The sequence below is a fragment of the Homo sapiens genome, chromosome 20 (assembly GCF_000001405.40).
Source record: "Homo sapiens chromosome 20, GRCh38.p14 Primary Assembly".
In the NCBI taxonomy this organism is placed as follows: domain Eukaryota; kingdom Metazoa; phylum Chordata; class Mammalia; order Primates; family Hominidae; genus Homo; species Homo sapiens.
In genome coordinates this window covers 17,941,600-17,957,201 of record NC_000020.11, presented here as the reverse complement: position 1 = coordinate 17,957,201, position 15,602 = coordinate 17,941,600, and the positions used below count along the sequence as shown (strand labels likewise).

The 15,602-nt window shown below is 40.3% G+C and overlaps 1 protein-coding gene across 3 annotated transcripts in view; it reads left to right on the top strand.

Moving 5' to 3' along the window:
- Positions 1–15,602, top strand: part of SNX5 (sorting nexin 5) — a 27,195-nt gene extending 11,593 nt beyond the window's left edge. For all 3 annotated transcript variants that reach the window (NM_001282454.2, NM_152227.3, NM_014426.4), the window contains 12 exons: positions 165–269; positions 1,727–1,837; positions 3,085–3,206; positions 4,492–4,615; positions 5,607–5,702; positions 6,806–6,911; positions 6,995–7,070; positions 8,099–8,138; positions 8,226–8,312; positions 9,557–9,716; positions 14,007–14,092; positions 14,795–15,602. In NM_001282454.2, coding sequence (NP_001269383.1) covers positions 3,133–3,206; positions 4,492–4,615; positions 5,607–5,702; positions 6,806–6,911; positions 6,995–7,070; positions 8,099–8,138; positions 8,226–8,312; positions 9,557–9,716; positions 14,007–14,092; positions 14,795–14,845 — 900 coding nt within the window. In that variant the 5' untranslated portion in view covers positions 165–269; positions 1,727–1,837; positions 3,085–3,132 and the 3' untranslated portion in view covers positions 14,846–15,602. The remainder of the gene's footprint in view (positions 1–164; positions 270–1,726; positions 1,838–3,084; positions 3,207–4,491; positions 4,616–5,606; positions 5,703–6,805; positions 6,912–6,994; positions 7,071–8,098; positions 8,139–8,225; positions 8,313–9,556; positions 9,717–14,006; positions 14,093–14,794) is intronic.

Sequence of the window (15,602 nt, the reverse complement as noted above, 5' to 3'; positions counted from 1 at the left end):
GGCCTCCCAAAGTGCTGGGATTACAGGGGTGAGCCGCCGCGCCCAGCTCAACTGACATTTCTAAATGATCTATGTATAAACTGCTTTTTAGTAACTACTCATTTTTGGAATAATTTTTTAGGGCCAAATGAGTTTGAAACTAATACGCAAAAAATGTATTTCAGCTGAGATCTGTATCTGTGGACCTGAATGTTGATCCCTCGCTTCAGATTGACATACCTGATGCGCTCAGTGAGAGAGACAAAGTCAAATTTACAGTGCACACAAAGGTAAGTAACATGCAGTGGTAATACATACAGTGCTAGGTTGCAGCCTTGTTATTCACAGTGGATGTGAGAAGAGATTCCCTGAGCTTGAAACAGTTGCTATTCGTAGGGTAGCACTATTAAGTGAGAACCTCCCTAATCTATCTCACAGTAAGCATCAGGTGAGTGCCATTGTGGCGGCAGCAGCATTCTGCTGTGGCAGAGCCCTGGGCTGTGGGCATTGTTTTTTTGTTTTTTTTTTTTTTTTTTTTTTTTTTTTTTTGGAGACAGTCTCATTGTGTTGCCCAGGCTGGAATGAAGTGGCACCATCTTGGCTCACTGCAGCCCCTGCCTCCCGGGTTCAAGCAATTCTCCTGCCTCAGCCACCAGAGTAGCTGGGATTACAGGCCTGAGCCACCACACTCGGCTCAAACTCCTGACCTCAGGTGATGCACGTGCCTCAGCTTCCCAAAGTGCTGGGATTCAAGGCGTGAGCCAGAGCCACCACACCGGGCCCCAGCTTTGTTTTTAATTTGCATCCAAGGGAAGTTTGTCTCTGTAGCTTGCTTTTTTTCAGCATTTACTAAATTGGGAAAGACCTTTCCCATGTGGTTTTTTCTTAACGCCTGGGCGGCTTGAATAGCACACTTCAGTTATTCCGGAGGTAGTGTAAAAAGACTGGTGACATAATTCTCTGCCTGAGCTTACCAGATCAAAGGAGGTAAAATCAGCATTCACTGGAGTGAAAAGGAAGGAAGCCAGGGACAATTTTTAGAACCATAGTAAGTTACAGCTAAGAGGTTTTTTTAAAATTTATTTTTCTTCTTTGTCATAAGTTGGGGGTGGGGGGTAAATTCAGACTTACAAAAATAGAATTTGGGGCTGGGTTGGGTGGCTCACACCTGTAATCCTAGCACTTCGGGAGGACAAGATGGGCAGATCGTTTGAGCCTGGGCAACATGGCAAAAACCTGTCTCTTCCAAAAATATAAAAATTAGCCGGATGTGGTAGCACACACCTGTAGTTCCAGCTACTCAGGAGGCTGAGGTGGGAGGATGGCTTAAGAGCCTGGAAGGCAGAGGTTGCAGTGAGCCAAGAAGCCAAGATCATTCCACTGCACTCCAGCCTGGGTGACAGCCAGACCCTGTCCCAAAAATGTATATAAACAAAAAAAAGTACACAGAAACAAAAAAATAGAATTAGGGTTGTGGCTTATTTCTTAGAACTGAACTTCTACCAGTAGATTCTGATGGGATATTCATTACAAGCTTCAGAAAGGTGGAGTTTGGGGAGAAATCGTTAGAGTTCAGGTTGAATCTTAGCTATGACTTTCATGACAGGAGATCATGTATAACTGCTTTGTTCTTTACTGGATCATATTATGATGTATTATGCAGAATTTTCCCACTGTGTAGCCTAGGAAACCCAGATCACTTATCTAAAAGTCGTGGTTACCAGTTAACTTCTTTCTTTCTTTACAGACCACACTGCCCACGTTTCAGAGCCCAGAGTTTTCTGTTACAAGGCAACATGAAGACTTTGTGTGGCTACATGACACTCTTATTGAAACAACAGACTATGCTGGGCTTATTGTGAGTCTTTTAGAAAATCAAATAAGCTAGTTCTTTCTGCCTTGCTATGCATTAGTTTAAAAGAGACTTATATCCACTTTTTTTAATGGATTGTGAAAAGTTAGATTTCATCTACCTACTGGAGTATTTGCTGACTGTCAAGTGGAAAGTATGTGAAGGAATAGTGTTACAGCTTTGAGGTGGTGCATACAGGCTTACATTATTTACATTGTAAAGGGGTGTGAACAGTGTAATGACTTTAGTCTTACCTACCTTTAGGTTTGGTTTTTCTCTGGTATGTTTTTTCCTATGTCAGTAGAATTGATTTCTAGGAAACACTGCTATTGGTAATAGTTTGTGATAAGATTTCTCAAAAGTTGCTGAAGGAGGCCATGCCTTTAATCCTAGCACTTTGGGAGGCCAAGGTGGGTGGATCACCTGAGCTCAGAATTTTAAGACGTGCCTGGGCAACATGATGAGACCCTGTCTCTACTAAAAATACAAAAAATTTGCTGGGCGTGGTGGTGCGTACCTGTAGTCCCAGCCACTGGGGAGGCTGAGGCATGAGAATCGCTTGAACTTGAGAGGCAGAGGTTGCAGTAAGCCGAGGCCGTGCCACGTCACTCCAGCCTGGGTGACAGAGCGAGACTCTTTCTCCCAAAAACAAAAAAAGTGCTCAAGGAGGCAGTTTTCAGCCCTTGATTGTTATTTCTTGGCGGCAGGAACAGACTTAACTGATTTTAAAGGAGATTTCCACGCGTTTTGTCCTGCCAGGCAGACTGAAGAAGCTCTCCAAATGATGATTGCTTAATCATTAAACAAAATTAATACCGAAGCTTATATTTAGATATGTCTTTCATTCAAAATTAGAGTCCTTGATTATCCTTTGGGATTAGGAAAAAATTCCTTTGGAATACTGAACACTTTATAATCTTGATGGCTCATCTTTGGTGCTTAGCATTCGTTGTACTAGTTTTAGGCGAACACTGAAGCAGTATAGACACTGTTGTGCTCTGAACAATTGTCTATAATGGATAAACTGAACAAATGATTGCCATCAAAGTGAATATGCAACTCTCAGGAAGACACCTCATTTTAAATGTCCAGAAGAGTTAAGGAAGGTTAAGAAAAAACAGGAGTTGACTTTTAAATAGCCCCACAGGAGTGGAGTGGTTGTCTCCTGTGGACCAGCAAGAGTAGAATGAGGCACCAACTAGAAAACATCGCTGCTGGGACAAGAGGCTCATGAGTTCCTGCCTCTGCTGCAGATTCCACCTGCTCCTACGAAGCCCGACTTTGATGGTCCTCGAGAGAAGATGCAGAAACTGGGAGAAGGTGAAGGGTCTATGACCAAAGAAGAATTTGCCAAGATGAAACAAGAACTGGAAGCGTAAGTGGATTTTCCTGGTGGGCTCTGTCTTTTGAGAAGTAGAAAAGTGGTGCTGTGTACAAAAATAAGTAGAAGAACCTGACTTAATTTTGTTTTAAGTGCAGCTGTTTAATTAGGTCCCTAGCGTCGTTTTCTAAAACTAGTAATACATCTTGCATAGTGTGGGACATGGTCTTTGTACTTCACACATTGATTCATTGGAGGCCATTGACACTAATACCCGATAGAGTAGTTGTCTTTTCCCATATGTAGGGCATACTTATTAAGGATGCTGGTCTGGCACAGTGAGGAAATAAACTTTTGTGCCTTTATAAATTGCTCATAATGTACAAAGCTTTTCTTTCGGAAGCTTGGTTACTAGACGTTGAGAAGAAACTAGAGAGTTGGGGGTTTCGTCATGTGTTGCCCCGGCTGGTCTCGAACTCCTGAGTTCAAGTGATCAGCTTGCTTTTGCCTCCCATAGTGCTGAGATTATAGTGAGCTGCCCCTGGGCCAGGCCAAATAGTGCTGTTATAGAGTAGCATTCTCAGTAACCATCACATAGATAATTTGAAAGAGGAAGTCCAGGTCTACAGGCAGCAAGTATATTTTAATCTGGTTGTCATTTAATTTTTTCAAACAAAAATAGATTTTTGGAAAGTTTCTTATGAATCCATCCTTGCATTTCCTCATCTTAGCTGAAAAGTACTCATTCCTCCCCTCTTCAACCATCAGCTCCCCCTCTCCAAACCCCTGTGTCATCTAGGGCAGCACTCAAACCTCCAGGCCCTGAAAGCATTTAGCACACACTTGAGTGGCTCTCGGGACCAGCTCTGGGGAATGAGGCACTGAACACAACAGATCCAAGTTTCTACCGTTAGGAATTTTAAGGTGACTTTTAATGTCTAGGTTGAGATAAAGCTGCTTTGTAATTTTTGTTAACTTTTAGCTTCATTAGACTCATGCTGTATACTTAGGCTGCAGTTAAAGGGTTCTCATTGCTTTAAAGAAACAAATGTTCTGTGGCTACTAAGTAACAGTAATTGCATGTAGATTTAGGAGCTCATGGACTTGACCCATCAAATCCAGTTACAACATTGCTTTCCTCCATAGTCTTATTCCACAGATTCAAAAATGGCAACTGCCTTAGTATCTAACTAGACACCAGTTTATACTGAAATACTGTTTGGTCCAGTTGCAGTGTTTTATGTGGTGGCATGAGCAGGGCCATAGAATTAATCAGGAGTGGTATTGGTCAGGTAGTTGAGCTGTGTCAACTGAATGCCATGTGCACATCTCTTTTCAGTGAGTATCTCGCTGTGTTTAAGAAGACTGTGTCCTCCCATGAAGTCTTTCTTCAGCGGCTTTCTTCTCACCCTGTTCTCAGTAAAGATCGCAACTTTCATGTTTTCCTGGAATATGATCAGGATGTAAGGCATTTTTATTCCATTTTGATAATCCACTTCAAATGTTTATACTTTCAAAATGTACTTGATAGTTTCTACTGCTTTAAAGTTTTGAATTTCTTACACAATGGAAACCTTTTTAGATGCTGCTTTTCCTTCATTGTAAGTCATTTTTTGTAAAACTCTGCTTAAAGAAAATTTTGACTTCTTTCCCCTTCCAAAACCTAGGTTTCTTTTTAAGAAATTAACAGTCCCAAACATCCCTTAGTTAATTTCTTAACAATTCCAAACTTAACTAAGTTCATTTTAAGGAAATTAAAATTTGTGTAATTTATTTTCTTCCCACCTACGCTTTTTGTTGAATTATGACTTTTTTCTTTTCTTTTTTGAGGCAGAATCTCGCTCTGTCATCCAGGCTGGAGTGCAGTGGCGCGATCTCGGCTTACTGCAAGCTCCACCTTCTGGGTTCACGCCATTCTCCTGCCTCAGCCTCCCGAGTAGCTAGGATTACAGGTGCCCACCACCACACCCGGCTTATTTTTTGTATTTTTAGTAGAGATGGGGTTTCACCGCGTTAGCCAAGATGGTCTCGATCTCCTGACCTCGTGATCCGCCCGCCTTGGCCTCCCAAAGTGCTGGGATTACAGGCGTGAGCCACTGCGCCCGGCCGCGAATTATGACTTTTATGCTATTTTTCTTTTTAACATGTTTTGGTTTTTGCTACTTAATATGGATAGAAGAGAACAGTAATTTTCCCAAGGATTTCAGAGCCACTAAGACTTAGCTTCTAGTCAGTCTTTCAAAATCTGTCAAGCCTTTTAGAATGAGATGACCTACCTATGTTTGGGTTTAGCCATTAGGTGTTTTAAGCTTGGAGGTTAAGGCAGAATTAAAGATACTTTATGCATTTGCCTGTACTGATAAAGAGGATTACTTAAAATGTTACTCAGAACTTCTTTAAGAGAATCTAGAAAAATCCATACCATATAAACTCTTTGGAATTTTCTTCTTTTAGCTAAGTGTTAGGCGGAAAAATACTAAAGAGATGTTTGGTGGCTTCTTCAAAAGTGTGGTGAAAAGTGCTGATGAAGTCCTTTTTACTGGAGTTAAGGTAAGTGACCTTTGGCTGTTGGAGAAAATTTTTTACTTCATCGGGAATAGGTGACCTTTTGTTTCTTTGAAAGAGATACTTGTGAAACAAATGGTTAACTTTTAAGACATGTAAGTGTTCTTCAGATTTTGGTAATTTTCATCTACTTATTCAATTTTCACTTATTTCCCAGAGCACCTTGTTCTGTCCCAGGAGAAGCAACTTGAACCTTTCCACACTTGGCTTCATTTTCTCCTTTTCTGTAAGGAGGGAGATTACTCAGTTAATTTCTAAAATAAAGTACAAGATCAGTATTTTATCCCACTCTCAGAACTACACTGTCCAGTTTGGTCACCAACTACAGGTGATAGAGAAGCACTTGACATGCAACCTAGCTGGCACAACTAAGGAACCAAACTTTAGATTTTATTTACATACTGGATTTCAAGGCGTTAGCACAAAGACAAGAATACAAAATAACGTTTCCGTTACCGTTAGAGGTATGATTTACTTTACTACTTCTCGGGCCTTCTCATTCCTTTGTAACTGAGTTACCCTTACAATTACTGTCTGGTATCTGGCTTTGCCACTCCAGGGAGCCCAGAATACAGGTGCTAAGTAGAGAGGGCATCATCAGAAATTAGGAAACTCGGACTTGGTCCAGTTTAAGGTGTATGGGACTGTCCTGTATCCATGCATTATGGGATATTTGGCATTGGCATCCTTGGCCAATGCCTACCAGATACCAGGATTTCCTCCCAGTCTGAAACCAATCGAGAAAAAAAAACCTCATTCACACACAGATAGGTATCCAAGGCTAAGTGGCCATGTTCCACCTGGTAGAACCATTGTACTAGCGTAAAATTGCTGTGTCTTAGGGTGCCAGTTTTACTGGTGGTTGTTAAGTGATTCTTCTGTAGACATTTTCTGCCAGCCCTTGATTTTTCCCAGCCTTGGTTAAGAAATAGTATCGTAAATTTGTAATTCCCTGATCTGTAGAGGTTAAACTTTACTCACGTTTATATGCCATGTTCTAAGCAATATATTTTTATATTGATAAATGTAAAAGGCTGCAGGGATAGTATATTTCATGAAATGTCTGGTTCTTTTTTTCTTCCTTCTAGGAGGTAGATGACTTCTTTGAGCAAGAGAAGAACTTCCTTATTAACTATTACAATAGGATCAAAGATTCTTGTGTGAAAGCTGACAAAATGACCAGATCTCATAAAAGTAAATATCATTTACCGCTAGTCAGAGCTTTGCTGATGAGCCTGGCTGTGTTTGGATAAAAAGACTTGTCCTTGTTTCTGCAGATGTTGCCGATGACTATATCCACACCGCAGCCTGCTTACATAGCCTGGCTTTAGAAGAGCCCACAGTCATCAAAAAGTAAGTTTTTTTGGAAAAGCATTTCCCCTAACCCAATTGAAGAGTGCCGAGTGGTGTAATTAAAAGCATAAATGAGTAGTGACTACATGGTCCTGCTCTGGAGTTACAAGCTCAGTAAGACAAGTCTCTAGCACTCATCTTACATGTTCTCTGGACATAAGACACTTGTAAGACAATTGTAGGGGACTTGGGCTCTTCTATATGTAAACAAATACAGTAAATGTTGTCAAAGCAGTAGTTTCTGTCACACTTAAAAGCCTGTTTTCTTTAGTTTTGGAGTTTGTAAGAGTTTATCTTGCATCTTCCCCTGGCAATTGGTGCTTGCAATTTTGCCTGGTAATGCCCTAGACCTTCTTTTTTTTTGGCCTGTGATGCAGCCTCAGGAGATCCTGAGAACATGTGCCCCTGCCCTGGACCTTGAAGAGATTTGGTTATAGTGGTCATGAGAATAATTTAATGACCCCAGTCTAACACACAGCTGTTTTGATGTACAATTTTCTGAAATTACCTTCATTCATTAATTAAAAACCCTTCCATTTTCACTCTGCACTTATGTATGTGTTTCAGTTTCTCCATCCTGGGCATTTCTGGTGTAAGACAATATTTTACTTAACATCCAGGCTTGGCAAAACAGGTGATACTACTTCTGACTCGAAATTGAAAGGCTAATGGCAGAACCATGACGAATTAAATAGCATATTTACTGCTTTGTGATGCCCATAGCATAGCTCATTAGAAACCAACCTTGGTTTACACAGCATTGGCATTTAATAAGAATATTTGGGCGCATGGCAGGATGACCGAAGGGTCACCAAGAGGCTGAGTGTGGTGCTGTACATGTGTGTAATTTTGTGACCATTTTCTCTACTATTTGGGGTCAGTTGAAGTGAGAGCACTACTTTTAAATTAATGCTAAAGTACCAAAGGCTAGGACTCCTGAGTTGACCCATTCCTGTCTTGCACACTGGTAAGATCATGTTTTATAGATGATTTAAGACCTTAAACCAAAATTATATGTACATTTCCAGGTACCTATTGAAGGTTGCTGAGCTATTTGAAAAACTAAGGGTAAGGATTTCTGTGTTGGTCTTCATAATATATATTTTATAATCTATAGCTTTCTGCCTTGATGGTGACCTTTCCTTTTCTATATAGAAAGTAGAGGGTCGAGTTTCATCAGATGAAGATTTGAAGCTAACAGAGCTCCTCCGATACTACATGCTCAACATTGAAGCTGCTAAGGTAGGAAGAGAGTTGCTCAGCTTCTCAGAGCAGTGCAGGACCAGAAGTCTGTTTAAAAAGTTTCTTTATACAAAGGAGCAGAATAAGAATTTATCAGACTTGTTTTTATAAATGACATGCCTTTCTGGCATTGTATCCATAAAGCTTGTGTATCTGACAGCACTGTATGGGTTGTGTGAAGTAGACAGGTAATAGTTTGGGGGATTATAGGTCATTGATGTGGGACATAACATGCAGAAAGGGCTGTTTCTGGGGCAAAGAAGATTTGGGAGTTTTTATTGAATTGCAAGTATCCCTGCAGCCTTTGAGCCGTGAAGCGTTATATGTATATGTGGACAAAATGGTAAGCAGAATAACCTTTGGGAATGAAACATGCTTTGTCTGCATTGCCCTGAACAAATATGTTTTAATTTTATGTGAAATGTATTAAATCAGGCAAAATAAAATTAGATAGGATTGTATGCCCTCTAAGGCTGAAATGTCATCAGAAAGTAAAAGAGTAAAAAAAATTTTTCCCCCCATCATGCAATTTTATTTTAGTTAATTTGCCCTTTGGCATGTTTTCTGAATCTTGGGAGTTTTTAAAAACATACTTTTTTAATAGCCTATTTTCTACTTTCATGGAATTAAGAGCTCACTTACGATTATTTGAGTATATACAAAAATAGGCCTAGTAGTTTCACCCATCAGTTATTATTTCACCTAGTTTTAAATGTGTAATCTATACATCATAATTGCTCATTTCAGATACTAAAGTAACTTCTACTCTGTTGTAAGATTGCAAAGAATCTTTATATCTGACTAAGTGGATCTCCAAGGTAGATTACCAGAAGCAGGATTTGCAGGGTAGGGTTATGTTTCTTACTACTTCATTGCCCAGTTGTATTTTAGCAGCGCTCAACTTGACTTACCCAGCAGTGACTGTATATTTCAAGTTATCTCTGATACACAATATTTAATTTTTAAAGTTAACTTTATTTACTGAATTACTGGAAAACAAAAGTCCTTCTGTTTTCACTCTTGAGTAATCACTTGATTCATATAAGGAATTCTAAAAAAAGCTCTCAACAAAGCTATCAGCATTGCTCATCCCTGCGAAGCTGGAGATTTAAAAATACTCTGGGAGAGGGAAGGTGTAGAGGTAGATTATTGCCACTAACATCTCAGGTGGTACATTGGCACTTGGGCTATTTTTTAGACTGGTTTAGATACTTAGTATGTATACCTGTTAATTTTTTTCCCAGGATCTCTTATACAGACGCACCAAAGCCCTCATTGACTATGAGAACTCAAACAAAGCTCTGGATAAGGCCCGGTTAAAGAGCAAAGACGTCAAGTTGGCTGAGGCACACCAGCAGGAGTGCTGCCAGAAATTTGAACAACTTTCCGAATCTGCAAAAGAAGGTTGAGCAGGACATTCTTCTTTCTGTACTGTAATTTGAAAATAATTTCAAACTTAGAAAAGTTCTACAAATAGTGCAAAAAACACCCATGTATCCTTCACCCAGTGTCAGCACTTCACCCCTCTGCCTTATCACTTGCACATGCACAGTCATCCTCATGGCTTTGCGTGCTTACAAACGTTACACACCTGGTTTTTCTGTACCATTGGAGATTAAGTTGCATATGTCATGCTTCTTTTAGCCCTAAAAACGTTGTGGTTTATTTCCTAAGACTGAAGACATTCTCTTGTATGGTTACAGTATGGTTGTTTGCTGTGATAAACTTAACTTTGGGTCTACAATCTGCTCTCTGTATTTTCATGTTTGTCTTGATGTCCTCTACAAGATCCAGTCTAGGATTGCATCTGGTTGTCTTAGCTATTAGTCTCCTTTACTCTGGAATAGTTCTTAGTTTTTAACAGTATCAGTCTTTTTAGAGAATCTCTTTACAAATCCTGTATTTCTGACTTTTGGTAGGTTTCCTCATGTTTAGATCTGGTTATGGGCTCCTGGCAGAATAGAAGTAATATGCCCTTATTGGGGTGTCACTTCTGATTGGACAGTGTGTCTCTCCTTCATTCGTGGTGGTAATTTTGATTACTCAATTAGATAGTATCCAAATCCAGTTTCTCCACTGTGTAGTTACTATTTTAACCCCCATCAATCTGTGGTGAGGCAATTTAAGACCATGCAAATACCTTGGTCTTCATCAAACTTCCTCCCTAGGTTTAGCATGTATTAATGATTCTTGCCTAAACCAGCTGTTACTCTGACGATTGCAGAAAGACGATTTCCCTCATCTCTAGCTCTAGCTTTCCTACCCAAGTTGGCACTTGTCATCCTACTACAAAAAAGCCTTCCCTTTTCTCAGAAATTTCCTTTATCTTTATTAGAGTCATGGACTCCCAGTTTTTAAAATGGTTTAGAATTCATTATTGTATTACCAAGTTATTTTTGATGCCTGTCCAGACTTTGCCAATAGGAGCACCTTTAAGCTGGCATGTGGTTGTAACAGCCTAACCCGTCTTTTTTAGAGTGATAGGCCATGCTAATCTTACTCTCTGCTCCAGCCTTGAAACTGGCCATTTTTTCAAGGAGCCAGGGTTCTTTTTCTTTGGGAACAGTTACCAGCATCTGAGTATGCTCATCGTTTCGGGGTATCTCTGCTTCTGTGCCCTTCAGTGGACTGAGCTAGGAAATGTATGTGTGTGTGCACACATATGCCGTTGCACACACATGCAGGTTTCAGGGATCACAAGTCCGGTCCATGTCCACATCCATAGGGTTCTTTCTTGCCTTATCCATTTCACCTCTTAGAGCAGAGGACTTTCACCATTTCTATTGAACATGAGTATAATATGTAGTCCTTACCTAAGAGGATTCTGTGGATCTTCTCTGGGGTTCTCAGGGGCCATGGAACATGTCAGAGCAAATGTTGGAATGGATTACCCAGAATGTGAGTAGTTGTAGTGGGGCACTGTTGGACTCAATCCCAACCCCCTAACGCGTGTTTCCATGAAAAATTCATATCTTACTTAGTTTTTTCCTAACTTTCTTGTTTCCCAGTGGTAGGGTAATCTAGACATAGGGAAATGATGTGTTCATCAACATGTTTGAAGCTACCTGGGGGAAACCTAGACTTTATAGATTTCTAATCATTTGTCTGTCTATTCAGGATTATAATACAATGCCTTAACTGTAAGGCACAAAGGCACAGAGCTTCCTGGCAAATGTCATGTAGACAGGCTCTGAGGCTGTGTTGGGTTCTTCCAAAGTAACCTTCATGCTACCCTGTTTCTGAAACAATTACAGCTTTTTTTTTTTTTTTAAAACTAAAATTTTCAAGGAAACGTACACACTTCAAAACTACTGAGTTGAAATCTTATAGGCCAGTTTCATGGCTCTGGAAATTTTAGAGGAGATTGAAGAAAAAACATAAAACTTTAAAAAATGATGCCAATTCAGGTCTACCTTTACTGCCTAAAGTTTTCGCCCACATTGATTATATCCTATATTCAAAATGCCAGATAGGTACACTATCTAAAAATACAGTATTCTGTGGAATGCTGAGATTGGTGGGTCTTAACCTGTTTGCCTTTGGTATAAGTGCTTTCTGAGACTTGCAGCTGAGCTGACGACTAGAGTTGAGTCAGTGGGTAAGGGCTGGTTTCACAGGAGGTGAATAGTTAAGTGTATGGAGCCCTGGTACTGTGTGTAGGTCTAGAGGAAGGCAGGGAGCTTATCTTCACCCAGGATATCCAAGGGACTGATAAACATCACCTTGTAGTGCAAGCACTATAGACTTGACATATCACTATGAAATTTGTGACTTTTTAACTTGGATGTGGCTGCTTGTATTGTAGTTCTTTTGCACAGCACTGTAGAGACAGGAAGGAGGGTGAGTCTGCTCTGAACACTTGAGCACCAGCAGAAGGTTGGGTGATGGTCAAAGTTTTAGTCAAGTAAAACTGCAAGACAGAACTTGATGTCACAAATTCAATGAAGGAATTAGGGCGGACATGCATATTCTTGGTTTGTTCCAATTTCCAATGGGTCATTAATGCCGAATTCTGATGGCAATAGGAGTAGATGAAATGAAAAAGGGCTGGGTGCAGTGGCTCACGCCTGTAATCCCAGCACTTTGGGAGGCTGAGGCGGGCGGATCACGAGGTCAGGAGATCGAGACCATCCTGGCTAACACAGGGAAACCCCGTCTCTACTAAAAATACAAAAAATTAGCCGGGTGTGGTGGCGGGCGCCTGTAGTCCCAGCTACTCGGGAGGCTGAGGCAGGAGAATGGCGTGAACCCAGGAGTCAGAGCTTGCAGTGAGCCGAGATCCCGCCACTGCACTCCAGCCTGGGCAACAGAGCAAGATTCCGTCTCAAGAAAAAAAAAGAAAAAGGAGTAGATGAAAAGGAAGCATGCCCTAAAGATCATCAAGTAAACCTGTCTTGAATACGTGTAGCAGTTTTTCACTGTTTTGGATTTAAAAATGTTTTAAGTTTTATTTTTAATCGACAAGTCATTGTATTGCATTTGTGGAATACAGTGTGATGCTTTGCAGGTACATAATGTGAAATTATTAGATCAAGCTAATTAACATCTTTCATTTTTTTCAGTGGTAATACATTTGAAATTTGCTGTTTCAATATATATTATTGACTGTAGTCACCCTGTTGTGCAGTAGATCTCAAAATTTATTCCTTGAGTTTAGCTGCAGCCTTCTACCCATTCTCTTTCCCACCTTCCCCAGCACCCCACCCTCATCCTCTGATAACCATCATTCTGTTCTCTACTTCTAGGAGTTCAACTTAAGATTTTACCTGTAAGTGAGATCATGTAATGTTTGTCTTTCTGTGCCTGGTTTATTTTATTTGGCATAATGTCCTCTAAGATCCATCCACATTGTCCCATATGAGAGAATTTTGTTATTTTAAAAGGCCGGATAGTATAATGTATCTATACTACATTGTCTTCATCCACTGATGGATAATTCTCAATTGATTTTGTATTTTGGCTATTGTAAATAATGCTGCAGTGAACATGGAAGTACGGATATCCCATTGAGATACTGATTTCAGTTCCTTTTATATTCCCAGAAGTGGGTTTGCTGGATCATATGGTAATTCTATTTTTAGTTTTTTGAGGAACCTCTATACCATTTTCCATGGTGGCTGTACTAATTTACATTCCCAGCAACGGTGTAGAAGAGTTCACTTTTCTCTGCATTGTTGCTAACACTGATCTTTCATCTATTTGAGAAAATGCATTCTAGCAGGTGTGAGGTAATCTCATTGTGGTTTTAATTTGCATTTCCCTAATGGCTAGTGCTGCTGAACGTTGTTTGCATGAACCTGGTATGTCTTCTTTTGAGAAGCATTTTCACAAGCCATTGGTGAAGTATGTGGCTCACCACCACCCATACTCCAGCCCTGTTCCCAGTCACTGGTACCTAGAGGGTGAGAGTGAGGCTGCTCATCAACGTGTTCTCCAAGTCATAAGCTGCTGCTCTCCCACTCACGATGCTTGGTGATTCAGTGATGTTTTCCACTTAAAGACAGTGATAGCTGTATCACCACAGTTAATAGATGTCTGATGTGTCCCAGTCACAGAGATAATACAAATGTGAGGAAATAATGCTGGTGCCTGAAAGCATTGGAGACCATTTGTAAGAATGCCATTTGGTAGTTAAAGTGAACATGAAAATTGTTTAGTTTTTCTTGGTTTCATAAACATTTTTTCTTCCTGTAGAACTGATAAATTTCAAACGGAAGAGAGTGGCAGCATTTAGAAAGAATCTAATTGAAATGTCTGAACTGGAAATAAAACATGCCAGGGTAAGTGTTTTCTACAGATGAAGCCAACATCTTTTATGGTTTTTTCCAAGTTATTTCCCAGTTTACTAACCCATTGTCATCAGGCAGTTGGGGTGGCCTTGTGGTATTAATCGTCTGTAGTACTTAGTTGATGGGAGCCACTCATTGTTTATTTGTAGTCTTGTTTATAATGTCACCCATGACTAATTTTTAGCAACTTTTTTTTTTTTTTTTTAATAGAGATGGGGTTTCACCATTTTGGCCAGGCTGGACTTGAACCCCTGACCTCAGGTGATCCACCTGCCTTGGCCTCCCAAAGTGCTGGGATTACAGGTGTGAGCTAAAGCTCCCAGCCCTAATTTCTAGCAACTTTTATTCAATCTTTCCAAGGCCCTTGCCTTCATGGAACAACGCACTGATAGTGTCTTAAGAAGTTACAGTAAGCAGGATCACATTTAGGAGCAAGCAGGTGAGGGCAGAGGTGCTGGAGTGAACGTCGGCTCTTTGGCTGGTAGCCTTACCCACTGAGGGAGAGGAGCTGAAACATGAAATGGGGATGCGTGGTACGTTGCAGTTCACCTGGGATTTGATGAAGAGAAGGGCCAGCTTGCTCTGGCTGACTTTAAACCTCCCGTGAAAAGCCGTGTTGGTGTACTTGAGTCATTCCAGGTATATGGCAAGTTTTAATAATTCACTGGTCTGCCTTGCCTTTTTTCCCCACAGAACAATGTCTCCCTTTTGCAGAGCTGTATTGACTTGTTCAAGAATAACTGATATGCCTTCACTCAGAAGAAAAGAAATGAATGTGAAAGAAAGCCAAGCATCACTTGCACTTAAATCATTACCACGGAAGATATATTAGCTTCAACTTTAGTTTAAAATTATGTGAATAAATATTTTGATTTCTACAAATCTTAACATTTAACCATGTTGGTTTAAAAATATTATTGCTTGCTACTTGGACATAACTAATTTTTCCTTGTGCATTTAATACCTCTGGGCAGAATCCAAATACTGGGTTCTCCCGTAGTTCGTCTTTAGTTACTAAGAAAGGGTGTAGGACACATTAGCCTTCTGGAAACAAGTAGAAGCCATCACCTGGCCCATGTCCCTACAAACCCATGATTGTCAGGGAGGTGCCAGTTACAGCAGGTGATTCAGCTACTTGAGGTCGGTAACAGACCTTCCATTCCTCACTGAAGGTGGGGTTTGTGTTTTTGTTTTGCCCTGTTACTCCACTGGTAGTCATCTGGTGTTTGTACTATAACAACAGCAAGAAAATCTCATTTATCTTTATATACTCTTTGCACCTCCTTTTTTTAGTCGAGATATAAATATTTGAGGGGAGAGAAATATCTACAGGTATATATGGAAACAAATAATGTGGTCTGCTTTATAAGATGGCCAGATCTACATTAGGAAAAGTATAAGCCCCCTCCCTAATGGCCGCTGGGGGGTGAGGGCGGTGTGTTGTATGTCTTTGGGTGTTTGTTTTTTTATAAAGCATATAATAAAATAATCGTGCTACTAA